Source organism: Homo sapiens, chromosome 7 (genome assembly GCF_000001405.40).
Source record: "Homo sapiens chromosome 7, GRCh38.p14 Primary Assembly".
NCBI classification, from domain to species: Eukaryota; Metazoa; Chordata; class Mammalia; order Primates; family Hominidae; genus Homo; species Homo sapiens.
Window position 1 is genome coordinate 43,396,124 of NC_000007.14, and position 23,591 is coordinate 43,419,714.

At 41.0% G+C, this 23,591-nt stretch overlaps 1 protein-coding gene across 19 annotated transcripts in view; it reads left to right on the forward strand.

The window, feature by feature from the left end:
- HECW1 (HECT, C2 and WW domain containing E3 ubiquitin protein ligase 1) overlaps positions 1-23,591 on the forward strand; it is a 453,355-nt gene that overhangs the window by 283,477 nt on the left and 146,287 nt on the right. For all 19 annotated transcript variants that reach the window (NM_015052.5, XM_017011883.3, NM_001287059.2 and 16 more), the window contains 2 exons: positions 691-766; positions 11,439-11,608. In NM_015052.5, coding sequence (NP_055867.3) covers positions 691-766; positions 11,439-11,608 — 246 coding nt within the window. The remainder of the gene's footprint in view (positions 1-690; positions 767-11,438; positions 11,609-23,591) is intronic.

A 23,591-nucleotide genomic window follows, 5' to 3' on the forward strand; every position in this document is an offset into this window, starting at 1 on the left:
CTTCCTAGAAGAGAATGGAAGCAAAAACCCTAGCTATTTTGATTAACCTATTACTAAATATTGAGCAATGATGAAAAACAAAACATTTTAGCAACATTGTTTTCAAATACCTACTAGATTCTAGATAATCCATGTAACAATTGTGTTCTGAAATTTCCGAGGAAGGCAATTGATTAATTAAGAGAGACCTCAGAAGAGCTCCTTAATGCCTTGTTCAGGCTCCTCTCCAGCAGTTTCCTGGAAATCCCTAAATAATAATAAGTGGAGATGCAGCAGTTCAACACTCTACTTTGCTAAATGGAAATACATTATAATTACAATAGTAAACATCTATTGACCTATCATTCTAGTGCCTTAGGCCCTGCTTTAATAAATACTTTTTGCAAATTTGAATGTGAAAAGACATGGTTTGCATAAGTAGTTACAAAGGGTCTTTTCTATTACAGTAATTGTGTTTGTTGATTTCCATTTTCCTGAAAAGTACCCATCACCCCCACTAGCAGATCCTCTACTACTGGGAAAAACATTAGGTTGCTAGAAAGTTGTTTTAATCAATAGTTGCCCAGTGAAATCACTGTCTTCGTTGCCTGTAGCTGGTAAAATCACTGTGAATAACCATGCTTGTGTTGAAGTGTGAATATCCATTTCAGTGCTTGTTTTGTTTGTCTCCCATTTTCCTTCTTTTTACAGATTTTTAAAAGCATTGGTGCTGATGAGACCGTCCAAGGACAAGGAAGTCGGAGGCTGATCAGCTTCTCTCTCTCAGGTATGTTTTGCTCACCTGAGACTTTGTGGAGAGACTAAGAATGTCAACCAAGAGTGAAGACACTCACTTCCATTTCACTCTTACCTACAAGTCAGTCAACCTCTCTGTGCCTCAATTTCTCAATCTGTAAAGCAAAAATGTTTTTTAAATCTGTTCAATTTCCCTTGACCACATAAGGATAATAGAGAGTTTAGGAAGTAATAGATGTGAAAGCATGTTGAGATGATGGAAAGGGAGGCTGCAGTTCTACCTTTCCCCCAGGTCCATGTAGCAGTAGTTGAGCATATACAAGGGGAAGTAAGGAAAACCTGGGAAGAGAAGCAGCTATTCAACTCTTTGTCTAAACAAAACCTCACATGGGGCACAACTGGCAAAACAGATAACTGAGCCGCTCAAAAATGCTCATTCATGGAAAAAAAATCAGTGGAATCCAATTAAGTCTGTTAACTAATAATATTTTAGTTTAATATTTAAGAGTAAGTTAACGTTTTAGTTTTCATGAATGTACCATGGTTCCATCTGTCATGCATGTCTGTGTGAAGAGAGTCCACCAACAGGCTTTGTGTGAGTAACATGGCTGTTTATTTCACCTGAGTGCAGGTGGGCTGAGTACGAAAAGAGAGTCAGCAAAGGGTGGTGGGATTATCATTAGTTCTTATAGGTTTGGGATAGGAGGTGGAGTTAGGAGCAATTTTTTGTGGGCAGCGGGTGGATCTCACCAAGTACATTTCAAGGGTGGGGAGAATATTACAAAGTACCTTCTTAAGGGTGGGGGAGTATCACAAAATACATTATTGCAAGGGTGGGGAGGGTGTATTGTCATAAGGTCAATTGATCAGTTAGAGTGGGGCAGGAACAGATCACAGTGGTGGAATGTCATCTTTTGTGGTTCTTCAGTTGCTTCAGGTCATCTGGATGTATATGTGCAGGTCACAGGGCATATGATGGCTTAGCTTGGGCTCAGATGCCTGACAACATCATATGTTAATAATGGGACAAACTGGGCAAAGGTTATGTGGGAAATCTTTGTATTATCTTTGGAACTCTTCTGTAAACCCAGAATTATATAAAAATTAAAAGTTTAGGGCTGGGAGTGGTGGCTCACACCTGTAATCCCAGCACTTTGGGAGGCCAAGGTGAGCAGATCACCTGAGGTCAGAAGTTTGAGACCAGCCTGGCCAACTTGGCAAAACCTCATCTCTGCTAAAAATACAAAAATTAGCCAGGCATGGTGGCGGGCTCCTGTAGTCCCAGCTACTTGGGAGGCTGAGGCAGGAGAATGGCTTGAACATGGGAGGTGGAGGTTGCAGTGAGCCGAGATTGCACCACTGTACTCCAACCTAAGCAACAGAGTGAGACTCCATCTCAAAAAAAATGAAATAAAATAAAATAAATAAAAGTTTAAAAGAAAAACTGAGCTGCTCTGGCTAACATGATATACAAAGCTCAGGGCTTCACACACTCAATCCCACCCTAAACAGTCTTTAAGGGGACACAGCGGCATAAAGCCTGAGGACTCTGTTGAGCACAGTTGGAAAACTACTACCTTAGCTTGTCAAATCAACAGATGTTGCAGGCCATGAATGCCAGAGGTCACAGGCATGAAGTACATGTGCCTCCTTGGGAGCTACACTGTTAACTGGGCTTTTCAAGTCTAAGTGAGCCCAGTAAAGCAAATATGTTTTGATCCATTGACAGTGTTAGCATGTGTATATCTAGGCTGAAGAAAAAAAAAAAGAAGAAAAAACTTGTAACCACCCAATGTGTTCACCTTGCCCACTGCCTAGACAGAGCCGATTTATCAAGAGAGGGGAATTGCAGTAGAGAAAGAGTAATTCACACAGAACTGTCTGTGCAGGAGACCAGAGTTTTAGTATCACTCAAATCAGTCTCCCCGAGAATTCGGCCATCAGAATTTTTAAGGATAGTTTGGTGAGTAGGGGCCAGTTAGTCAGGAGTGCTGATTGGTTGGGTTGAAGATGAAATCATAAGGAGTTGAAGCTGTCCTCCTATGCTGAGTCAGTTCCTGGGTGGGGGTCACAAGATCAGATGAGCCAGTTTAGCCACCTGGGTGGTGCCAGCTGATCCATCAAGTACAGCATCTGCAAAATATCTCAAGCACTAATCTTAGGTTTTACAATACTGACATTATCTCCAGGAGCAATTTGGGGGTAGTCAGAATCTTGCAGCCTCCAGCTATATGACTCCTAAATCATAATTTATAATCTTTTGACTAATTTGTTAGTCCTACAAATGCAGTCTAGTCTCCAGGCAAGAAGGGGGTTTGTTTCAGGAAAGAGCTGCTGTTGTCTTTGTTTCAAAGGTAAACCATAAACTAAGTTCCTCCCAAAGTTAGTTGCGCCTGTTCCCAGGAATGAACAAAGACAGCTTATAGGTTAGACGCAAGATGGAGTTGGTTAGGTCAGATTTCTTTCACTGTCTCAGTTATAATTTTGCAGTGGTGGTTTCAACTCACTAATTTTGTACTTCTAAGGCAAAAGCTAGCAACTCCTATTGAAATGCTTAAGAAATAACAATGATTAATACCAACCTTCAAAAACAGTAGAAACCAGGAATACTGCACAACTATGTGCCAGAAACCAAGAGGAATTGTCACTAACCAAAGGTCCAGTGAAGTCCAAGTCCTGAAGCCCAAGAGGAATGCCATGCATGGTGAGCAGGGCAGGACTGGGGAGGGGACAGTCTCTATTCCTTTATCTCTGCTTTGCCTCTGCCATGAAGACATGGGCTCACAGACCTACCAGAGGAGGAAGCCCCACCACCACCCCAACTTGGTTCACAAAGCTACTTTATAAGGTGATCAGGGTTGGTTCATCTCCTGCAGTCCCCAAACACATCATTTTTCTTACATTTATTCCAAGACAACCATTCCCAGCAAAGGAAAGTGACTAGGAATATAAAGTTAGTAGCTAGCGGAGCAAGCTTGGAATGGTCATGGACATATAATGCTCAGTAGTTGGCTATGTATATGTATGTTGCATTCACTATGTCTGCCTAGGACAAAAAGCAAATACTGTTGAAACTATCAAAATAAATTCCATGCAGCCAGGCATGGTGGCTCATACCTATAATCCCAGCACTTTGGGAGGCCAAGGCAGAAGGATTGCTTGAGCCCAGGAGTTTGAGACCACCTGGGTAATATAACAAGATCCCATTGCTACAAAAAGTAAAAAAAGTTAGCCAGCCATGGTGGCATGTACCTATAGTCCCAGCTACTCAGGAAGCTGGGGCAGGAGGATCACTTGAGCCCAGGGGTTAGAGGCTACAGTGAGCTCTAACTGTGCAACTGTACTCCAGGCTGGGCAACAGAGCAAGACCCTGCTTCAAAAGACTAAAATAAAATAAAAATAAATTCCATGCCTCAAAAAAAGACAAGACAGAAAGATCAGCAAAGCCCACAAAATATCAAAAATTTGCTCCATGCTGGTCAGCTCTGAGTATAAGAGCAGAGCTAAGGATTCCAGCAACAACCAGTTGGACAACCAAACTCACTAAAGATGGACAAACGCCGGGACTACATGACATGCTCGTAGGTAAACAACAGAAATTTTGACTTGAACAATGTGTGGAGAAAATACTCTACCCTATTAAAAAGTCGAAGACTATAATACTCAAGAGAAAAAGAAACTATTCTATTGACAGATACCTACTAAAGAGAAGTAAAATATTTATCACTCATCTGCTTGTACCCTCAACAAAATAGAGGGAAGTGCAGAGCATATTAAATAAGAGATCAAAGATGAGAAAAGATGATAAGGGAGTTTTTTAAAGCTTGCAAAAATAGAAACTTAGAAAGTCAAGTGTATTTGCTTTCTCTTGCTGCTATAACAAATTGCCACCAACTTAGTGGCTTAAACAACACAAATGTACTCTTACTGTTCTGGAGGTCAGAAGTCCAGAATGAATGTTAAGGGACTAAAATCAAGCTGTCAGCCAGGCTGGTTCCTTCTGGGGGCTCTGGTGCAAATCCATCCCTTGCCACTTTCAGCTTCTAGAGGCTGCCAGCATTCTTTGGCTCATGGCTACATTGCTCCAATCTCTGCTTCTCTCATCACATTGCCTTCTCCTCATTTTGCTCTTCCTGCCTCCATCTGACAAGGACTCTGTGATTACGTTGCACTCACCTGGACAGTCCAGGATAAATCTCTCTACTGCAAGATCCTTAACTTAATCACTCTGCAGAGTCCCTTTTACCATGTAAGGTAACATATTCATAGGCTCCAAGGATTAGGATGTGAACATCTTTGTGAGGTCATTATTCTGTCTACCGCAGTCAAGAAGAGATTTAAAATAAACTCTAAAAAGTACAATCACAGAATTAAAAGCCTTCAAAAGCAGTACAGGTCACACTCACCACTACAGAAAGGGAATCAGTGATATGACAGATTGACTTGAGAGTCTCTCCCGGAAGGCATCAATGAAGGGCAAAGTCCAAAAAGGACGAGGGAAAAAAAGATGAATGGCACATACAGAGCCAACACATAATCAGTGTTTTTGATGAAGAAATCAGAACAAACTGAACAGAAACAGTAATAGAAGAAAACTTCCTTGAGCTGAAGATAATTTTGAGTATTTAAATTAAAGAAGACCATCAGGTGCTCAGAGAAAGAAATGTATATGAAGAGACCAACACCTAGACAAATCTCATTTAAAAAGGTTTTTTTTTTTTTTTTTTTCCCCCAAATATAGCCACAGTAGACATCTGGGCTGAAAATGCATGATACGTACAAAAGAACAATCCTCATGCTAATCTCAGACTTGTCTTCTGAGATGCCAAAATAATGAAGCAAAGCCTACCAAGTGATACGGACAGGAGACAGGGAAATACTGGGTAGAAGAGGGCAGTTACCCAGCAAAGGCCCCACCCTCAATCCTGGAAACCCATGGCCCTAAATGGGAACAGGCGTTCCTGTTTTCGCACCCAAATGTTGCATTTTGGCCCACCATGCCCCTCTATCTTGTACCCATATAAGCCCCATATCCCAGGCTCCACAAGCAGATGAGCAGAAGAGCAGAGCAACAGAAGAGTGGCACGGCAGAGAAGGAGAGAAGAGAAGGAGCATCCGAATGTTGAGAGGAGTTCAGTTGGGGAAGGTCGAAGAGGAGATTGGCCGAGGGACAGCCAAACTCCAGGGGAAGATCATCTTCCCACTCCATCCTCTTTCCAGCTCACCACTCATCCTGCTGAGAGCTACCTCCGCCAATCACTGAAACCCCTGCATTCACCATCCTTCAGGTCGGTGTGTGATCTGATTCTTCCTGGACGCCAGACAAGGATCCAGATACCAAGAAGGCAATGAATTGGTTAACACTTAAGCCAGCCGCAGATGGCAGAGCTAAAGGAGCACTGTAACTCACCCACTGGGGCTCCAGGAGTCACAGACACCCTCCCCTAGATGCTACCGCGGGGCCGGAGCCCAAAAGCACTCACTCCGGTTCCTGCACCTGCCCGTCTGCATGCTCCCTCTCCCATAAGAGGTTTGAGCATACGAGCCACACCCCTGTTGCATGTCCTGTGAGGGGGGTCAGGGAACTCTCCTATTTCACAAGTTCTAAGGGGAGAATTGTTTTACCCAAGATTTCCATGTCCACCAGATTTTCATATATGTGGGAAGGCAAGAGGAACACCCTCAGGTTTATAAGGGCTCAAACACTACCACACTTACACCTCACTTTAAAATAATATGTAAGCATGTACTCCAGCATACAGAGATAAAATCCAAGAAAACTCGAGAATTGGGGACATTGCAATATAAAAAGACTGATTTTCTTTTTAGGGTTTAAAAGGGGAAATAAGCAGAAAGTAGATAATGGAATTGCCTTCTTAGAAAGCTCCAACAGTACAATGAACATATCAAAGCAAGATTGCTCATGCAAATGCTTTACTTGTCAAGTCTATTTATACTTCCTGTTTTTACCACTGCCTGGAGGTAATACATTTTCTAGATAAATATTATCACTTTAATTTTCAATGAAGTGCACTTTTAGCATTCTAACTGAAAAAATCAGAAATGCAAACAAAGATTTATTTACAAATATATTGGAGACAACTTAAACATTCAAAATTAGGGCTTGGTTAAATAAATTACCGTAGAGCCAAATTATTAAATGCTATATACTCTTAAGAATTGGGTATTCAAAATGTTCTAAAAGGCATGGGAACATCCTTATGATGTTGTTGGCGTGGGAAATAATTTTTCCTCTGGTTTTCATAAGTTCTTGGCTGAGGACCCCCTGTAACAGAAGATAGATTAACAAGAGAAAAACAAACAGAAGTTATTAACATGTATATCTCATGTATACATAGGAGATACCCAGGGAAAATGAGTAAATCTCAAAGAAGTGGCTTAGAATTTCAGCTTACATAATGTCTTCAACAAAGAACAGTACAATTTGTAGTGAAGTGACAGGGCAAAGGAAAAGGACTTTGAGTCTTCAGGGGCAGCAAGTTCTGGGAAGGCTATGGTATGGTAGATAGATGCTGTTTAGTACAGTTTATTATGCAGATTCGTCTGGTGCTGTCTCCTGGTTGGTACTGGTCTGAAGTCATCTCTGGTGATCAACCTTTGATCCCCCTGGTAGAGAGCGGAAGAGGGACACCTTTGTAAATTTATGCCCTGCTTTTGGGAAAATAGCGAGAGGGCAAAGAGCTTTTCTTTTATCTACTTCTTCTCAGTTGTCTTCAGCTCAAAATAATCCTTATGCCAAAGTCACAGATTTTGGGATATTGTTTCCCAGGCTCTCACATATAATGGGGTGATATATTCTTGTCTCTTACACATATGATGCAAGTCAAAAGAAAAATCTTGGATGCAGTAATGAATATGCAGTATGTTCTCAACTACGCAAAGAAAAATACTAGGAGGAATAAGGTTTGGCAAAGGTTGCCACTGGTGGGGAGGGGGTACTTAACTTGAAATAAATAATTATTTCAATTAGTTATTTGAAATAACTTTAAAATTCTATTTTTTCATTCTATATTTTTAAGTATTATAATAAATGTACATATGTCTATCACCAGAACCAAAAAATACAGGCAAAAATGAGAAGAAATTAACTATTCTCCTTTAACGTAGCATTTACTTTTGGAAAATTCTAGAACTCTATGTGCTCTTATGGACATTTCTCCCAACAGTCTCATAGGGGAAAACATTAAGACCTGAAAGAGTTAAATTGGTTTACTCAAAGTTACAAATTTCAACAATGAGTGTTCTCAAATGACTACCAGTCCAGTGCCTTTTAAATTATACCTCTTATTGCAACAGTTTTCAAGTACTTTTATTCCATGAAACGTATATCTCAGTGAGTATTTAGACTGAAATTAAATATGTAAGTCTTTATAAAGAAAAGTGTAAACATTTGCTGAAGGACAGGAAAGAAGACCTGTACAAATGAAGAAACATGTGCTCTTGAGTAGAAGTCTCCGTTTTCTAAAGCTACTAATTCTCCCAAAGCTAAGATATAAATTCAATGCAGTTCTAATCAAAATCCAAGTGTTTTGAAAGGAGTTGTTAAAATTTAATAAGGCTCATCTGGAACAATAAATGGCTGAGTGATAAAGAAAGGTGTTATCTTTTTAAAAAAATAAGAACAATAAGAGTGACTTAATTTAGCAGCTATCAAACATTTGATGAAGACATGTTGGTGCAGATGTGGACAAGTTGTTTGATAGAACAGAACAAAGTGTATCGAAAAAGACTCATTTATATTTGAGAATTTAACCTATGCCAAAGTTGACATTTTTATAAAAAGACAATATAACAGATTGGTTAAAAGCACAGACTTTGGGCCGGGCACAGTGGCTCACACCTGTAATCCCAGCACTTTGGGAGGCCGAGGTAGATCACCCTACGTCAAGAGTTTAAGACCAGCTGGCCAACCTAATGAAACCCTATCCCTACTAAAAATACAAAAAATTAGCCAGGGGTGGTGGTGAGTACCTGTAATCCCAGCTACTCGGTAGGTTGAGGCAGGAGAATTGCTTGAACCCGGGAGGCGGAGGTTGCAGTGAGCCAAGATTACACCATTGCACTCCAGCCTGGGCAACAAGAGTGAAACTCCATGTCAAAAAAATCAAACAAAAAAACAAAAGCACAGACTTTGAAATCAAAGAGGCGGGTTCAAATCTCATCTCTGATGTCAACCAGCCCTGACAATCTGTAAGCCTTCATTTTCTCTTTCTTGTATTAAGGATATAATCTCTACCTTGCGGAGTTTGTGTTCAGGATTAAATCAGAAAATGTATTTTAAGTGCTTAGAATGGTTCCCAGAATTTAGTAGATAACAAATAAATAGTAGGTGGTGGTGGAGGCAATGGTAGTCACTATTTTATGATGAATGTTTTATATATATATGTCTTTCACACTCTAATAAGTCAGGATCTCCAAGATCACCCCTAGGTTCAACAATTTGCTAGGAGGACTCACAAGACTCAGCATCTAGATATACTCGTGGTATGACTTATTACAGTGAAAGGACACTTAGCAAAATTAGCTAAGGGAAAAGGTGCTTAGGGCAAAGTCTGGAGGAAGCCAGGAGCAAGCTTCCAATGGGCCTCTCCCGGTGGAGTTACACAGACATGCTTCATTCCCCCAGCGTGAACTGTGACAGCACGTGGAAATGCTGTCTACCAGGGAAGCTTCTTAGAGACTTGAGACTGGGTTTCTACTAGATGGCTGGTTGGGGGACAGTGGGGGTGGTGCTGGTCATGTGTGCATCTTCTGCTTAGCCCACATCAAACTTCCGGCCTCCCAGAAGGAAAGCAGTGTTCACCATAAGCCACATCATTTACACAAACACTTTAGGCACAGTGAGCCACTCGTACCCGTTCTGGGAAGGTAGGAGCCCTCCTGAAATCCAGGTTTCTAGACATTAGCCAAGAGCCAACCTTATAAGCAGTTGAGTAGTCTCAGGCTGCTATGTTAACTTCTGTCTACACACATTCCTGCAGATGTGGCCTGGGTTTTGCAAATTTCTGTGATGCTTGTACTTCCTGCCTTTTTTCTTTCATTGGCAATTGTGGGGGCAAAAGTGACTCCATTGTGGATGTGAATCTGCTGTGTTGACTTCTGATCACCCCCCAGTCTTGCGCATGCCTCCTCTTCCTACTTTATCCACTGTCTCTAGTGTAAGAACATGTCAACCTTGATGTTATGACAGAAACAATAGGCTGTGATGCATGCAGCATTCCTGCCTGTTCTGGAGGGCTGCCTTTCATTGTCTTGCACAGAGCAAGGGCTTATATACCCCTTCCCTATGGTACATAAGCCCTGGGTCTAGGGAGTAACAGTGCAGAGATCTACCAGTCTCCTACAGCCCAAGACCATGCTTATCTGTGAGTTCCCTAATAAAACTCCTTTTACCGACAAACTGGATTTGTCTGCCTCCTTCTTTGGTTTCTCAACTCCTTTGGCATTTGGTGGTCATTTTGAATATACAGCCCTTTCACAGAGCAGTAATACATTATCATGCCAGAGAGTAGGAATAATTTTATTAAGGGGATAACCTTGGATCAACTCAAAATAACTTTTAAATAAGTGCATATGAAAACAACTGTGCTTTTTCGTCAGTAACAAATTATTGAAACCCCTCACAACTTAAACCATGACTGGGAATCCCTGATCCTGTGTATCTTTACCTCCATTTGTTTCACTTGTGTATAAATGTAAATAATTTTGTTTGAAAAATACTTCAATAATAGAAAAGCTTTAAAAATTATATTCCTTGGCTGGGCACAGTGGCTCACACCTGTAATCCCAACACTTTGGGAGGCCGAGGCGGGCGGATCACCTGAGGTCAGGAGTTCAAAACCAGCCTAGCCAACACAGCGAAAATCTGTCTCTACTAAAAATACAAAAATTCTCCAGGCATGGTGATAGGCACTTGTAATCCCAGCTACTCGAGAGGCTGAGGCAGGAAGAAATGCTTGAACCCAGGAGGCAGAGTTTGCAGTGAGCCAAGATCCCACCACTGCACTTCAGCCTGGGTGACTCCATCTCAAAAAAAATTATATTCCTTGACATCATCAATATATTTCTAATAAATATAATGTGATTTCACATTATCCAACTATAAACTGTTGCCTTAAATGACCTTGTGCACACACACTCTTTCTGTCTCTCTCTCCTTGTGCAGCATGAAATTGTACATGGTCAGATATCTTCAATTAAACAGAACAGCTCGATTTTCAAAGCCCTGCCCTCCCTGGCAGCAGGGTTTCTCAGAACTCTCCTCATTGACTGCACTCAGCCCCGTGGAGGCCAGGTCTTGTTTGTTCTTTCCTCCATTGTCCACGCTCTGTGCTCTTTTAATCCTCTCCTTTCTCTTTATTTCTGCCAATTCTCTCACCTTACTCAGTGAGGCCCACATATATCGTGAGACTACAACCCCTATTTTTTTAATGTCTCCACCTTGCAGAGGAATTTTACACCCGGACCCATCAAATTTCCAAAGTTGGACTTTCTCTCCCTGTGCTACCCACGTTTCCTGGGGTGACCCTCACTCCTTCACCCCAGCCTGTTTACCTGCCTGAGTAACACTAGAGATCTAGTTCATAAGGGCCAATGGTCCTCTCATGAAAGGTGTGGTTACCAAATGCCAGTCGTTAACCTCCCTAAAACATATTTAAATTAAAGTATCCTTTATTTTATAGATTTCCAAGCCATGGGGTTGAAGAAAGGGATGTTTTTCAACCCAGACCCTTATCTGAAGATTTCCATTCAGCCTGGGAAACACAGCATCTTCCCCGCCCTCCCTCACCATGGACAGGAGAGGAGATCCAAGATCATAGGCAACACCGTGAACCCCATCTGGCAGGCCGAGGTGAGTGCTGTGGGCCCTGAAAAAAAGCCCAAGTAAAAGTGAAAGGGCTGACTGTGAACCAGCCCTCCTCCTTCCCTCCATTCATGGAGCCCTGGACTCTGCTGCTCAATCTATGGCTGTCATGGTCTTAGAAGGGAGCCATGTTCTCCAGGGGTTGCAACTCAGGGATCTTGATCAAGTCCATCCGGACAGTACTAACACACTTTTCATTGCACTGCATGCAGTAGCCTCTTCTGATTCAGAACCCATGCCGCGAGCAGGACGGCCTTTCCCTCTGCCCTTCATGTGGGAGAAGGAAGACAAGAGTTGTGATCAGAGCCTTCCAGTTTCTCCACAGCTCTTCCCATGCATGTGATCCTTGAGCAAGGGTGTCAAATCTTAAATATAGCCTTCTAGACCAGTTTCAGAGATTCTAAAACTGGGAGGTTCCTGGGATAGGTGAATCAGTAAGCCCTAAAATATCCCTGGTTGGGTTAAATATTGTTTGATTTAAATAGATAATGAAGCCTAATGGTTTATCCTATCTTCATGATTTGCAAAGGGCTGGGCAGCTTGCTACAGTATTGAATAGTCTATGTTGTCTACAAAGGCCCTTCTCCACTCCTGAAAGTGTTGCCTTTGCCAGGGGTTAGGAGGGTCCTCCAAGTTCTCTCCTAAAGGACATGTAGAAAGTCGGCACCACTTATTTGGCCAGGCAAGGTAGCTCTTAGGGAGGCTAGGGCAGGTGAATCGCTTGACTCCAGAAGTTCAAGACCAGCCTGGGCAATATGGCAAAACCCCATCTCCACCAAAAAAAAAAAAAAAATTAGCTGAGCCTGGCGGTGTGTGCCTGTGGTCCCAGCTACTGGAGAGGCTGATGTGGGAGGACTTCTTGAGCCTGACAGGCAGAGGTTGTAGTGAGCTGGGATCATGCCACTGCACTCCAACCTGGGTGACAGAGCGAGACCCTGTCTCTAAAAAAGAAAGAAAAAAGAAAGTCATCACCACCCATTTGGCTGCCTCCCTGCCAGACCTGAGCTTGAAGCTATAACCTCCAAACCATGTGACTGAGGGGAGGGGAGGCCTAGGTCATGAGAGTGGATGGGGTATAATGTAGGTTAAAAGTACAGTTTTACAGTCATAGAAACCTGGATTCTAATCCCAGTGTGGCCAGTTAATAGTTTATAAATTTGAGAGATCAGTTATCCTCCACCTGAGCCTTAGATTACCCTCATCAGCCTATTATTGATGGAAACGTGCTCCCACCAAAGGAACTTGCTTTGGAGAGGATTTCTTCCTTTATTTTTCAGAGTAGATCATCTCTGATTTAGAGCTTTCAAGCATCCTTGACAAGAAAACATAATTAGACATATGAGAGCAAAGATTTTTTATTATCTATTAAATCATACCACCCCCTTCCTGGGCTTAATTAGCGCTCTCCCAGGCTTCCCAGAAGAGCTTCGTTAGAGCTTTGAAGTGGACGTGAGGGAAATAGACTTGTACTTAAACTTCCTCCTAGCGTTGGTTATCAACAGATTCTAAAACACTGATAGCACCGCTAGAATGGAATAATGAATCTTAATTTGTTTCTTCAGTCCTGCCTGTGTTCATCAATTATTTCTGAACTCTTCCCTGCATTCCTAGAGATAATAAAAGATGTCAAAAGAATTTATTTTGTATGGGGGGAAAGGCTTCTCTCTTCTGAAGGACTTTAGAGGAACCTGTTCTAAGACATTTAGTCATAAAGGTGTTTTAAGTGTCAGGGAATGTTTGGAAAATCCAGCACTATCAGAATGTTTTTTGGCTAAAAACGTCAACTAGAATTCACTTTAAGTTCTGAAATGATTTCTGAAGCTTTGGTTAACACTGATTTTGTTCTGGCAGAATACTGGCAAACTCTCCCCAGCCCTCTGCTCTGGGCCACCTCCCTTCCATCCCACGTGCTGCAGTTGGAGTTATTGATCTAAAATATGCCTCATCTCATGTCCCCCTGGTAAGGCTCAGGCTGAGGATAACTGATGTCCCAAGTTAAACAGTGTGTAACTGGCTAAAGGAGATTTGAACCAAGGTTTGTGTTGCTGCAAAACTGTCCATTCAACCCCTAAATTGTACTACAGTTCCCAGGGTCCAAGTGTCAATGTCATAGCTCCTCTGCAGAGCATTCAAAGCCTTCTTTGATCAGGCATTGCTTACCATTATGTCAGTTAAGGATGTATTTGGCTCCATGCAAGGGAAAGTCTGGCTGGCTCTGATATTTCTCACAAACAAGACATCCAGAGGGAGGTGATCCAGGCGGTGCCGCTGCTGAGTGAGCCCCCAGGGATCCCAGCTCTCCGGGCCTGCCACTGCACCATCCTTAGCAGATGGCCTCATCCTCCTCTGTTAAAGCCTCAAGTCCAAATTCCAGGCAGGAAGAAAGCAACAGGCCAAAAAAGCCTTCTCCTTGCAAGACTTTGCATTTTCTTCCTGGGAGAAAATGACTGGGTGGCTTAAACAACAGATATGTATTTCTCAAAGTTCCGAAGCTGGGAAGTCCGAGCCCAGGATGCTGGCACGGTTGGGTTCTGGTGAGGGCCTCTTTGGGGATGCAGATGGCTGCCTTCTTGCTCCATCCACACGTTAGAAAGAGAGAAAAGGAAAGAGAGCACACTCTTATAAGGACACTAATCCCATCGTGAGGACCCTATCCTCATGACTCCTCTAAACGTAATGACCTCCAAAGGCCCGGCCTCTTAATACCATCACTTTGGGTGTTAGAGTTTCACATATGAACTTGGGGGTTGGTGGTGGAAGGAGACACACACACACACACATTCAGTCTATAACAGGTTTCAGTCCACAACAGGAAGTTTTCCTCCTCATATTTTCTGGAAATGTCTGTGTATAATTATTATTTCTTCCTTAAATGTTTGATATAATTTACCAGTGAAAACATCTTAGGCTGGAGTTTCTCTGTGAGAAGACTTTAAATTATGAATTTAGTCTTTTAAATAAAAAGAGTCATTTAGATTACCTATTTCTTCTAAGAGAAAGCATTTGTCTTTCAAGAAATATTGCCATCTTTTTGTGTTGTTTGGCATAAAGTTGTTCAAAGTATTGTTTTATTGTCTTTTAATGTTTGTAGGCTTATTAAGGACAATACCTCTTTCATTTATATATTGGTGAATTGCTTTTTTTCTCTTTGTTTGTTAACCAATCTAAATATGGGTTTATTAAATTTGTTTATTTTGTGAAAGAACTAGCTCTTGACATCATTTTCTCTATGTTTAACTGTTTTCTATTTATTTTTATATATGCCCTTATTTTCATTTATTTATCTCCTTTATTGCCTTCTATTTTTTTTTTTTTAGCTCCTTAGGGTAAAAGTCTAGGTCTTGCTTTTAGACTTACATTTATTCTCTAATACAATTATTTAAGCAATAAGTTTTCTTCTAATCTCTGTTTTAACTGCATTTTATAAATTTGTATATAATTTATACTTTTATTATCATTCCGTCAAAAATATTTCTTCATATTCCTTCTTTGACCCATGGATTATTTTGAAATAAGTTGTTTAATTTCCAAACCTGGGGATTTTCCTAAATATCTTCTTGTTACTGACTTTTAATTTTATTTTATTGTGGTTAGAGAACATACTCTATATGATTGCAATCTATTTAAATTTATCAAGCCATGTTTTACAGTCCAGCATATGATGCATTTTGGTAGGCTTACCATATCAACTTGAAAAGAATGTATATTCTCCTATTGTGGCATATCAAGTCCTATAAATATCAGTTGAGTCAAGGTGGTTGACTGAGTTGTAGAGATTCTCTGTGTCTTTATTGCTTTCTATGTCTAGCTGTTCTATCAGTTGCCACAAGAAGCATGTTTAAATCCTTTACTATGTTCATGGAATTGTCTGTTTCTCTAATTCTGTCAACTTTTGTTTCATGTATTTTGAAGCTCTGGTATTAGGTACTTGCATAGTTATGTCTATGCATCATGTTTATAATTCTAAAATATTTTTCTTTATTTTTGGTAGTGCTCCTTGTCTTGAAGGCTGTTTTATCACACTAATATAGCCACTCCAGCCTCCCTTATGTTTAGTGTTTGTTCCATTTACTTTCAAAATGTTTGTGTTTTTACTTATAAAGTGCATTGCCTATGGACAGCATATTCTTCGGACTTAATTTCATTTATTACAATAATCTCTGCCTTTTAATAGGAATGAATGGCCCATTACCATTTAACATATTTATTCATGTAATTGTATTTAGGCCTACTATTTTATTATTTGTTTTCTGTTTGTCCTCTGGATTGTTTTCTTATTTCCCCTTCTTGACTTGTTTTTGGATTATTTGAATATATTTTAGAATTTCATTTCAATTTATCTACTGAATTTTTAGGTACACGGCTTTGCGTTACTTCCTTTGTAGTTGCTTTAGGGACCATAAAATACCTTCCTATATTTTCATGATCTACATTGAGTTAATTTTGTACCACTTTACATAAAATGCAGTAACTCTTCAACAATATTACCTGCATTTATCCACACTCGTGATCTTTCTTGTTATAGTTATTATATATATCACATTGTATATACATTATAAACCCTACATGACGATGTTAAAAATTTTTGCTTTAAGTGGATGTGTATTTTAAAGAAACTAGGAAAAAAATATAGTCCTTAATGCCTCCCCATACATTTCCTATTTCTAATGCTTTTCATTTCTTTTATTTATTTATTTATTTATTTATTTATTTATTTTAATTATTATACTTTAAGTTTTAGGGTACATGTGCACCTTGTGCAGGTTAGTTACATATGTATACATGTGCCATGCTGGTGCGCTGCACCCACTAACTCGTCATCTAGCATTAGGTATATCTCCCAATGCTATCCCTCCCCCCTCCCCCCACCCCACCACAGTCCCCAGAGTATGATATTCCCCTTCCTGTGTCCATGTGATCTCAATGTTCAATTCCCACCTATGAGTGAGAATATGCGGTGTTTGGTTTTTAGTTCTTGCGATAGTTTACTGAGAATGATGATTTCCAATTTCATCCATGTCCCTACAAAGGACATGAACTCATCATTTTTTATGGCTGCATAGTATTCCATGGTGTATAAGTGCCACATTTTCTTAATCCAGTCTATCATTGTTGGACATTTGGGTTGGTTCCAAGTCTTTGCTATTGTGAATAATGCCGCAATAAACATACGTGTGCATGTGTCTTTATAGCAGCATGATTTATACTCATTTGGGTATATACCCAGTAATGGGATGGCTGGGTCAAATGGTATTTCTAAATCTAGATCCCTGAGGAATCGCCACACTGACTTCCACAATGGTTGAACCAGTTTACAGTCCCACCAACAGTGTAAAAGTGTTCCTATTTCTCCGCATCCTCTCCAGCACCTGTTGTTTCCTGACTTTTTAATGATTGCCATTCTAACTGGTGTGAGATGGTATCTCATAGTGGTTTTGATTTGCATTTCTCTGATGGCCAGTGATGATGAGCATTTTTTCATGTGTTTTTTGGCTGCATAAATGTCTTCTTTTGAGAAGTGTCTGTTCATGTCCTTCGCCCACTTTTTGATGGGGTTGTTTGTTTTTTTCTTGTAAATTTGTTTGAGTTCATTGTAGATTCTGGATATTAGCCCTTTGTCAGATGAGTAGGTTGCGAAAATTTTCTCCCATGTTGTAGGTTGCCTGTTCACTCTGATGGTAGTTTCTTTTGCTGTGCAGAAGCTCTTGAGTTTAATTAGATCCCATTTGTCAATTTTGTCTTTTGTTGCCATTGCTTTTGGTGTTTTGGACATGAAGTCCTTGCCCATGCCTATGTCCTGAATGGTAATGCCTAGGTTTTCTTCTAGGGTTTTTATGGTTTTAGGTCTAACGTTTAAATCTTTAATCCATCTTGAATTGATTTTTGTATAAGGTGTAAGGAAGGGATCCAGTTTCAGCTTCCTACATATGGCTAGCCAGTTTTCCCAGCACCATTTATTAAATAGGGAATCCTTTCCCCATTGCTTGTTTTTCTCAGGTTTGTCAAAGATCAGATAGTTGTAGGTATGCGGTGTTATTTCTGAGGGCTCTGTTCTGTTCCATTGATCTATATCTCTGTTTTGGTACCAGTACCATGCTGTTTTGGTTACTGTAGCCTTGTAGTATAGTTTGAAGTCAGGTAGTGTGATTCCTCCAGCTTTGTTCTTTTGGCTTAGGATTGACTTGGCAATGCGGGCTCTTTTTTGGTTCCATATGAACTTTAAAGTAGTTTTTTCCAATTCTGTGAAGAAAGTCATTGGTAGCTTGATGGGGATGGCATTGAATCTGTAAATTACCCTGGGCAGTATGGCCATTTTCACGATATTGATTCTTCCTACCCATGAGCATGGAATGTTCTTCCATTTGTTTGTATCCTCTTTTATTTCATTGAGCAGTGGTTTCTAGTTCTCCTTGAAGAGGTCCTTCACATCCCTTGTAAGTTGGATTCCTAGGTATTTTATTCTCTTTGAAGCAATTGTGAATGGGAGTTCACTCATGATTTGGCTCTCTGTTTATCTGTTGTTGGTGTATAAGAATGCTTGTGATTTTTGTACATTGATTTTGTATCCTGAGACTTTGCTGAAGTTGCTTATCAGCTTAAGGAGATTTTGGGCTGAGACAATGGGGTTTTCTAGATATACAATCATGTCGTCTGCAAACAGGGACAATTTGACTTCCTCTTTTCCTAATTGAATACCCTTTATTTCCTTCTCCTGCCTAATTGCCCTGGCCAGAACTTCCAATACTATGTTGAATAGGAGTGGTGAGAGAGGGCATCCCTGTCTTGTGCCAGTTTTCAAAGGGAATGCTTCCAGTTTTTGCCCATTCAGTATGATATTGGCTGTGGGTTTGTCATAGACAGCTCTTATTATTTTGAAATATGTCCCATCAATACCTAATTTATTGAGAGTTTTTAGCATGAAGGGTTGTTGAATTTTGTCAAAGGCTTTTTCTGCATCTATTGAGATAATCATGTGGTTTTTGTCTTTGGCTCTGTTTATATGCTGGATTACATTTATTGATTTGCGTATATTGAACCAGCCTTGCATCCCAGGGATGAAGCCCACTTGATCATGGTGGATAAGCTTTTTGATCTGCTGCTGGATTCGGTTTACCAGTATTTTATTGAGGATTTTTGCATCAATGTTCATCAAGGATATTGGTCTAAAATTCTCTTTTTTGGTTGTGTCTCTGCCCGGCTTTGGTATCAGAATGATGCTGGCCTCATAAAATGAGGCCAATTTGCCAGTCTGTGTCTTTTAATTGGAGCATTTAGCCCATTTACATTTAAAGTTAATATTGTTATGTGTGAATTTGATCCTGTCATTATGATGTTAGCTGGTTATTTTGCTCGTTAGTTGATGCAGTTTCTTCCTAGTCTCGATGGTCTTTACATTTTGTCATGATTTTGCAGCGGCTGGTACCGGTTGTTCCTTTCCATGTTTAGCACTTCCTTCAGGAGCTCTTTTAGGGCAGGCCTGGTGGTGACAAAATCTCTCAGCATTTGCTTGTCTGTAAATTATTTTATTTCTCCTTCACTTATGAAGCTTAGTTTGGCTGGATATGAAATTCTGGGTTGAAAATTCTTTTCTTTAAGAATGTTGAATATTGGCCCCCACTCTCTTCTGGCTTGTAGGGTTTCTGCCGAGAGATCCGCTGTTAGTCTGATGGGCTTCCCTTTGAGGGTAACCCGACCTTTCTCTCTGGCTGCCCTTAACATTTTTTCCTTCATTTCAACTTTGGTGAATCTGACAATTATATGTCTTAGAGTTGCTCTTCTCGAAGAGTATCTTTGTGGCGTTCTCTGTATTTCCTGAATCTGAACATTGGCCTGCCTTGCTAGATTGGGGAAGTTCTCCTGGATAATATCCTGCAGAGCGTTTTCCAACTTGGTTCCATTCTCCCCATCACTTTCAGGTACACCAATCAGACGTAGATTTGGTCTTTTCACATAGTCCCATATTTCTTGGAGGCTTTGCTCATTTCTTTTTATTCTTTTTTCTCTAAACTTCCCTTCTCACTTCATTTCATTCATTTCATCTTCCATCGCTGATACCCTTTCTTCCAGTTGATCGCATCGGCTCCTGAGGCTTCTGCATTCTTCACGTAGTTCTCGAGCCTTGGTTTTCAGCTCCATCAGCTCCTTTAAGCACTTCTCTGTATTGGTTATTCTAGTTATACATTCTTCTAAATTTTTTTCAAAGTTTTCAACTTCTTTGCCTTTGGTTTGAATGTCCTCCCATAGCTCAGAGTAATTTGATCGTCTGAAGCCTTCTTCTCTCAGCTCGTCAAAGTCATTCTCCATCCAGCTTTGTTCCGTTGCTGGTGAAGAACTGCGTTCCTTTGGAGGAGGAGAGATGCTCTGCGTTTTAGAGTTTCCAGTTTTTCTGTTCTGTTTTTTCCCGATCTTTGTGGTTTTATCTACTTTTGGTCTTTGATGATGGTGATGTACAGATGGGTTTTCGGTGTGGATGTCCTTTCTGTTTGTTAGTTTTCCTTCTAACAGACAGCACCCTCAGCTGCAGGTCTGTTGGAGTACCCTGCTGTGTGAGGTGTCAGTGTGCCCCTGCTGGGGGGTGCCTCCCAGTTAGGCTGCTCGGGGGTCAGGGGTCAGGGACCCACTTGAGGAGGCAGTCTGCCGGTTCTCAGATCTCCAGCTGCGTGCTGGGAGAACCACTGCTCTCTTCAAAGCTGTCAGACAGGGACATTTAAGTCTGCAGAGGTTACTGCTGTCTTTTTGTTTGTCTGTGACCTGCCCCCAGAGGTGGGGCCTACAGTGGCAGGCAGGCCTCCTTGAGCTGTGGTGGGCTCCACCCAGTTCGAGCTTCCAGGCTGCTTTGTTTACCTAAGCAAGCCTGGGCAATGGCGGGCACCCCTCCCCCAGCCTCGCTGCCGCCTTGCAGTTTGATCTCAGACTGCTGTGCTAGCAATCAGCGAGATTCCGTGGGCGTAGGACCCTCCGAGACAGGTGTGGGATATAGTCTCGTGGTGCGCCGTTTTTTAAGCCGGTCTGAAAAGCGTAATATTCGGGTGGGAGTGACCCGATTTTCCAGGTGCGTCCGTCACCCCTTTCTTTGACTCGGAAAGGGAACTCCCTGGCCCCTTGCGCTTCCCAGGTGAGGCAATGCTCGCCCTGCTTCGGCTCGAGCACGGTGTGCGCACCCACTGGCCTGCACCCACTGCCTGGCACTCCCTAGTGAGATGCACCCAGTACCTCAGATGGAAATGCAGAAATCACCCGTCTTCTGCGTCGCTCACGCTGGGAGCTGTAGACCGGAGCTGTTCCTATTCGGCCATCTTGGCTCCTCTCATTTATTTATTTTTTGAGGCGGAGTTTCACTCTGGTCGCCCAGGCTGGAGTGCAATGGCGCAATCTCGGCTCACTGCAACCTCCACCTCCTGGGTTCAAGTGATTATCCTGCCTCAACCTCCCGAGTAGCTGGGATTACAGGCACCCACCACCACGCCCAGCTAATTTTTGTGTTTTTAGTAGAGATGGGTTTCACCATGTTGGCCAGGCTTGTCTCAAACTCCTGACCTCAGGTGATCCACCCGCCTTGATTTCCCAAAGTGCTGAGATTACAGGCATGAGCCACCACACCTGGCCTCTTCATTTATTTCTGAAGACCTGGGTTTTCCTCTGATATCATTTCCCTTCATCATGAGCTCCTTCCCCTGGCCTTTCTAGAGTGGGCCTGGTGAGTCTAATCCTCTTATTGTTTATTTGAATGTCTTTATTTAATGTCCTGCAGATATTTTCTCTGTGGATATTTTCACTGGATATAGAATTCTGGGTTAACTGGTATGTTTCCCCTCAGCACTTGAAAAAATATGGTTCCGCCCAGTGAGGTGGCACACACCTACAATCCCAGCTACTCGGGAGGCTGCGGTGGGAGTATCACTTGAGCCCAGAGTTCAAGGCCAGCCAGGGCAACATAGCAAGACCCCATCTCAAAAAAAAGGTTTAAAATGCAGTTCCACTGTGTTATGGTCTCCATAGTTTCCAATAATAAATCTATAATGATTTAAATCATTGTTGCTTTCCTATCTGTCAGGTGTCAGTTTTCTCTGTCAGATTCAGGGTTTTCTCTTTGTCTTTGGTTTTCAAGTTGGATTTCGGCATTCCCAGGCATGGTTTTTGTATTAGTTTCCTAGAGCTGTCATAACAAAGTCCCACAAATTGAGTGGCTTAAAACTACAAAAATATATTGTTTCATAGTTCTGGTGGCCAGAAGTCCAAAATGAAGGTGTGGGCAGAGTTGTTTCCTTCTGAAGGCTCTAAAGCTGTTCCATGCCTCTCTCCTAGCTCCAGTGATGTAGGCAATTCTTGGCATTCTTGGCTTGCAGACTCCATCTCTGCCTCCATCTTCACGTGGTGTTCTCCCTGTGTGTCTCTGGTTCCAAATTTTCTTCTTCTTAGAGGGACATCAGTCATACGGGATTAGGGCCCACCCTAATGGCTTCATCTTAACTTGATTACATCTGTAAAGACCCTATTTCCAAATAAGTTTGCATTCAAAAGCACCAGGGTCTTAGACTTCAGCATACCTGTTGAGGGACACAATTCAACTCATAACAGTTTTCCTCTAATTTAATCTATTGTTGGTTCACTGAACTTCTTGAAGCTATAAGTTTGTTTTCACCAAATCAAGGAAGTTTGGCCATTATTTATGTTTTTCAAATATTCTTCTGTTTAATTCTCTCCCCTTTTTCTTGAGCTCCAAATGATCCATATGCTAGATCTTCAGAGTCCCACAGGTCCCTGAGGCTGTTTTCTCTCTCCTTGTAATTGCATGATTTCTATTGATCTATCTTCAATTTTACTGTATGTTTTCTCTATAAACTCCATTCTACTATTGCTTCTATGCAATGAATATTTTCAGATATCAGAATTTTTTATTTTAAGATTGCCATTTGGTTTTTTTTAATGTGCTTTATTTTGCTGATGATATTTCTTACCTATCTATATTCATCATAAGTTAATATTTTCCTTTACCACACTGGATATAGTTATAATAGCTGCTTTAAAGTATTTTCCTGATAATTTCAACATCTGGAGAATATTGAAAATGGGTCATGTTTTGTGTTTTTTAATAAATTAAGTCATTCTGGATGATGTCTCGAGCATTGTTAATGTTATACTGAAGAGACTCTGGATTTTGCTCCAGGGGGTATTGATGTTTTGTTACAGCAGACAATTGATTTGGCGCAGCTCCTACTGTCATCCATATGGTGGGAGGCACCTCAGATCTCAGTTCAGTTCTTTAAGCCCTAACTGCAAACTGATTTCATTTGCCCTGTGCGTGTATGATTCTGGGATCAGCCATAAACTTGGGCTGAGCTTCTATACATCGTTTGGGGCTCTCCTTTGGCTCTCTTCTTTCCGGAATTCCTCCTTTACTCTCTGGTGGTGCTGGTTGCCCCAGGCTTCTTTGCCTGGTTCATCCAGCCAAAAAGATAGTGAGATTTGTATTGGCATTTTAGCTGCTCTGTACCACTATTGCAGTGACTGTGGCGGCATTCAGGGCAAAGATCCCACTGTGAAGAATTCATTCCATGCCCGTCTCTTGTTGCAGTGAACAAGTTTTAGCAATTAACTGTGTAGCAATTAGAAACAATTATTTTACATTTTTCTGGACATTACCAACATTTGGATTTTTAAAAACAAGCAACAAATGTATTTTGTAGCATTTTTATCATCCAGTAGATTCCATCTCTTCACTGTACTTTATAAGTTATCCTATAAGCTAATATAGGTTTTAAATGTTGTCTTCTGTGCTATTCTTTGTAAGTGTACTAGTAAAATAATTTAACATAAAAATAAATTAATGTAAGCCACCACATTGACAATATAAAGAAGAAAAATCATGTTTATCTCCATAGATCCATAAAAAGACTTTGATAAAATTTAATATTCATTTATGATTTTCAACAACTCCTACAAAACTAGGAATAGAAGGGAACTTTTTTGT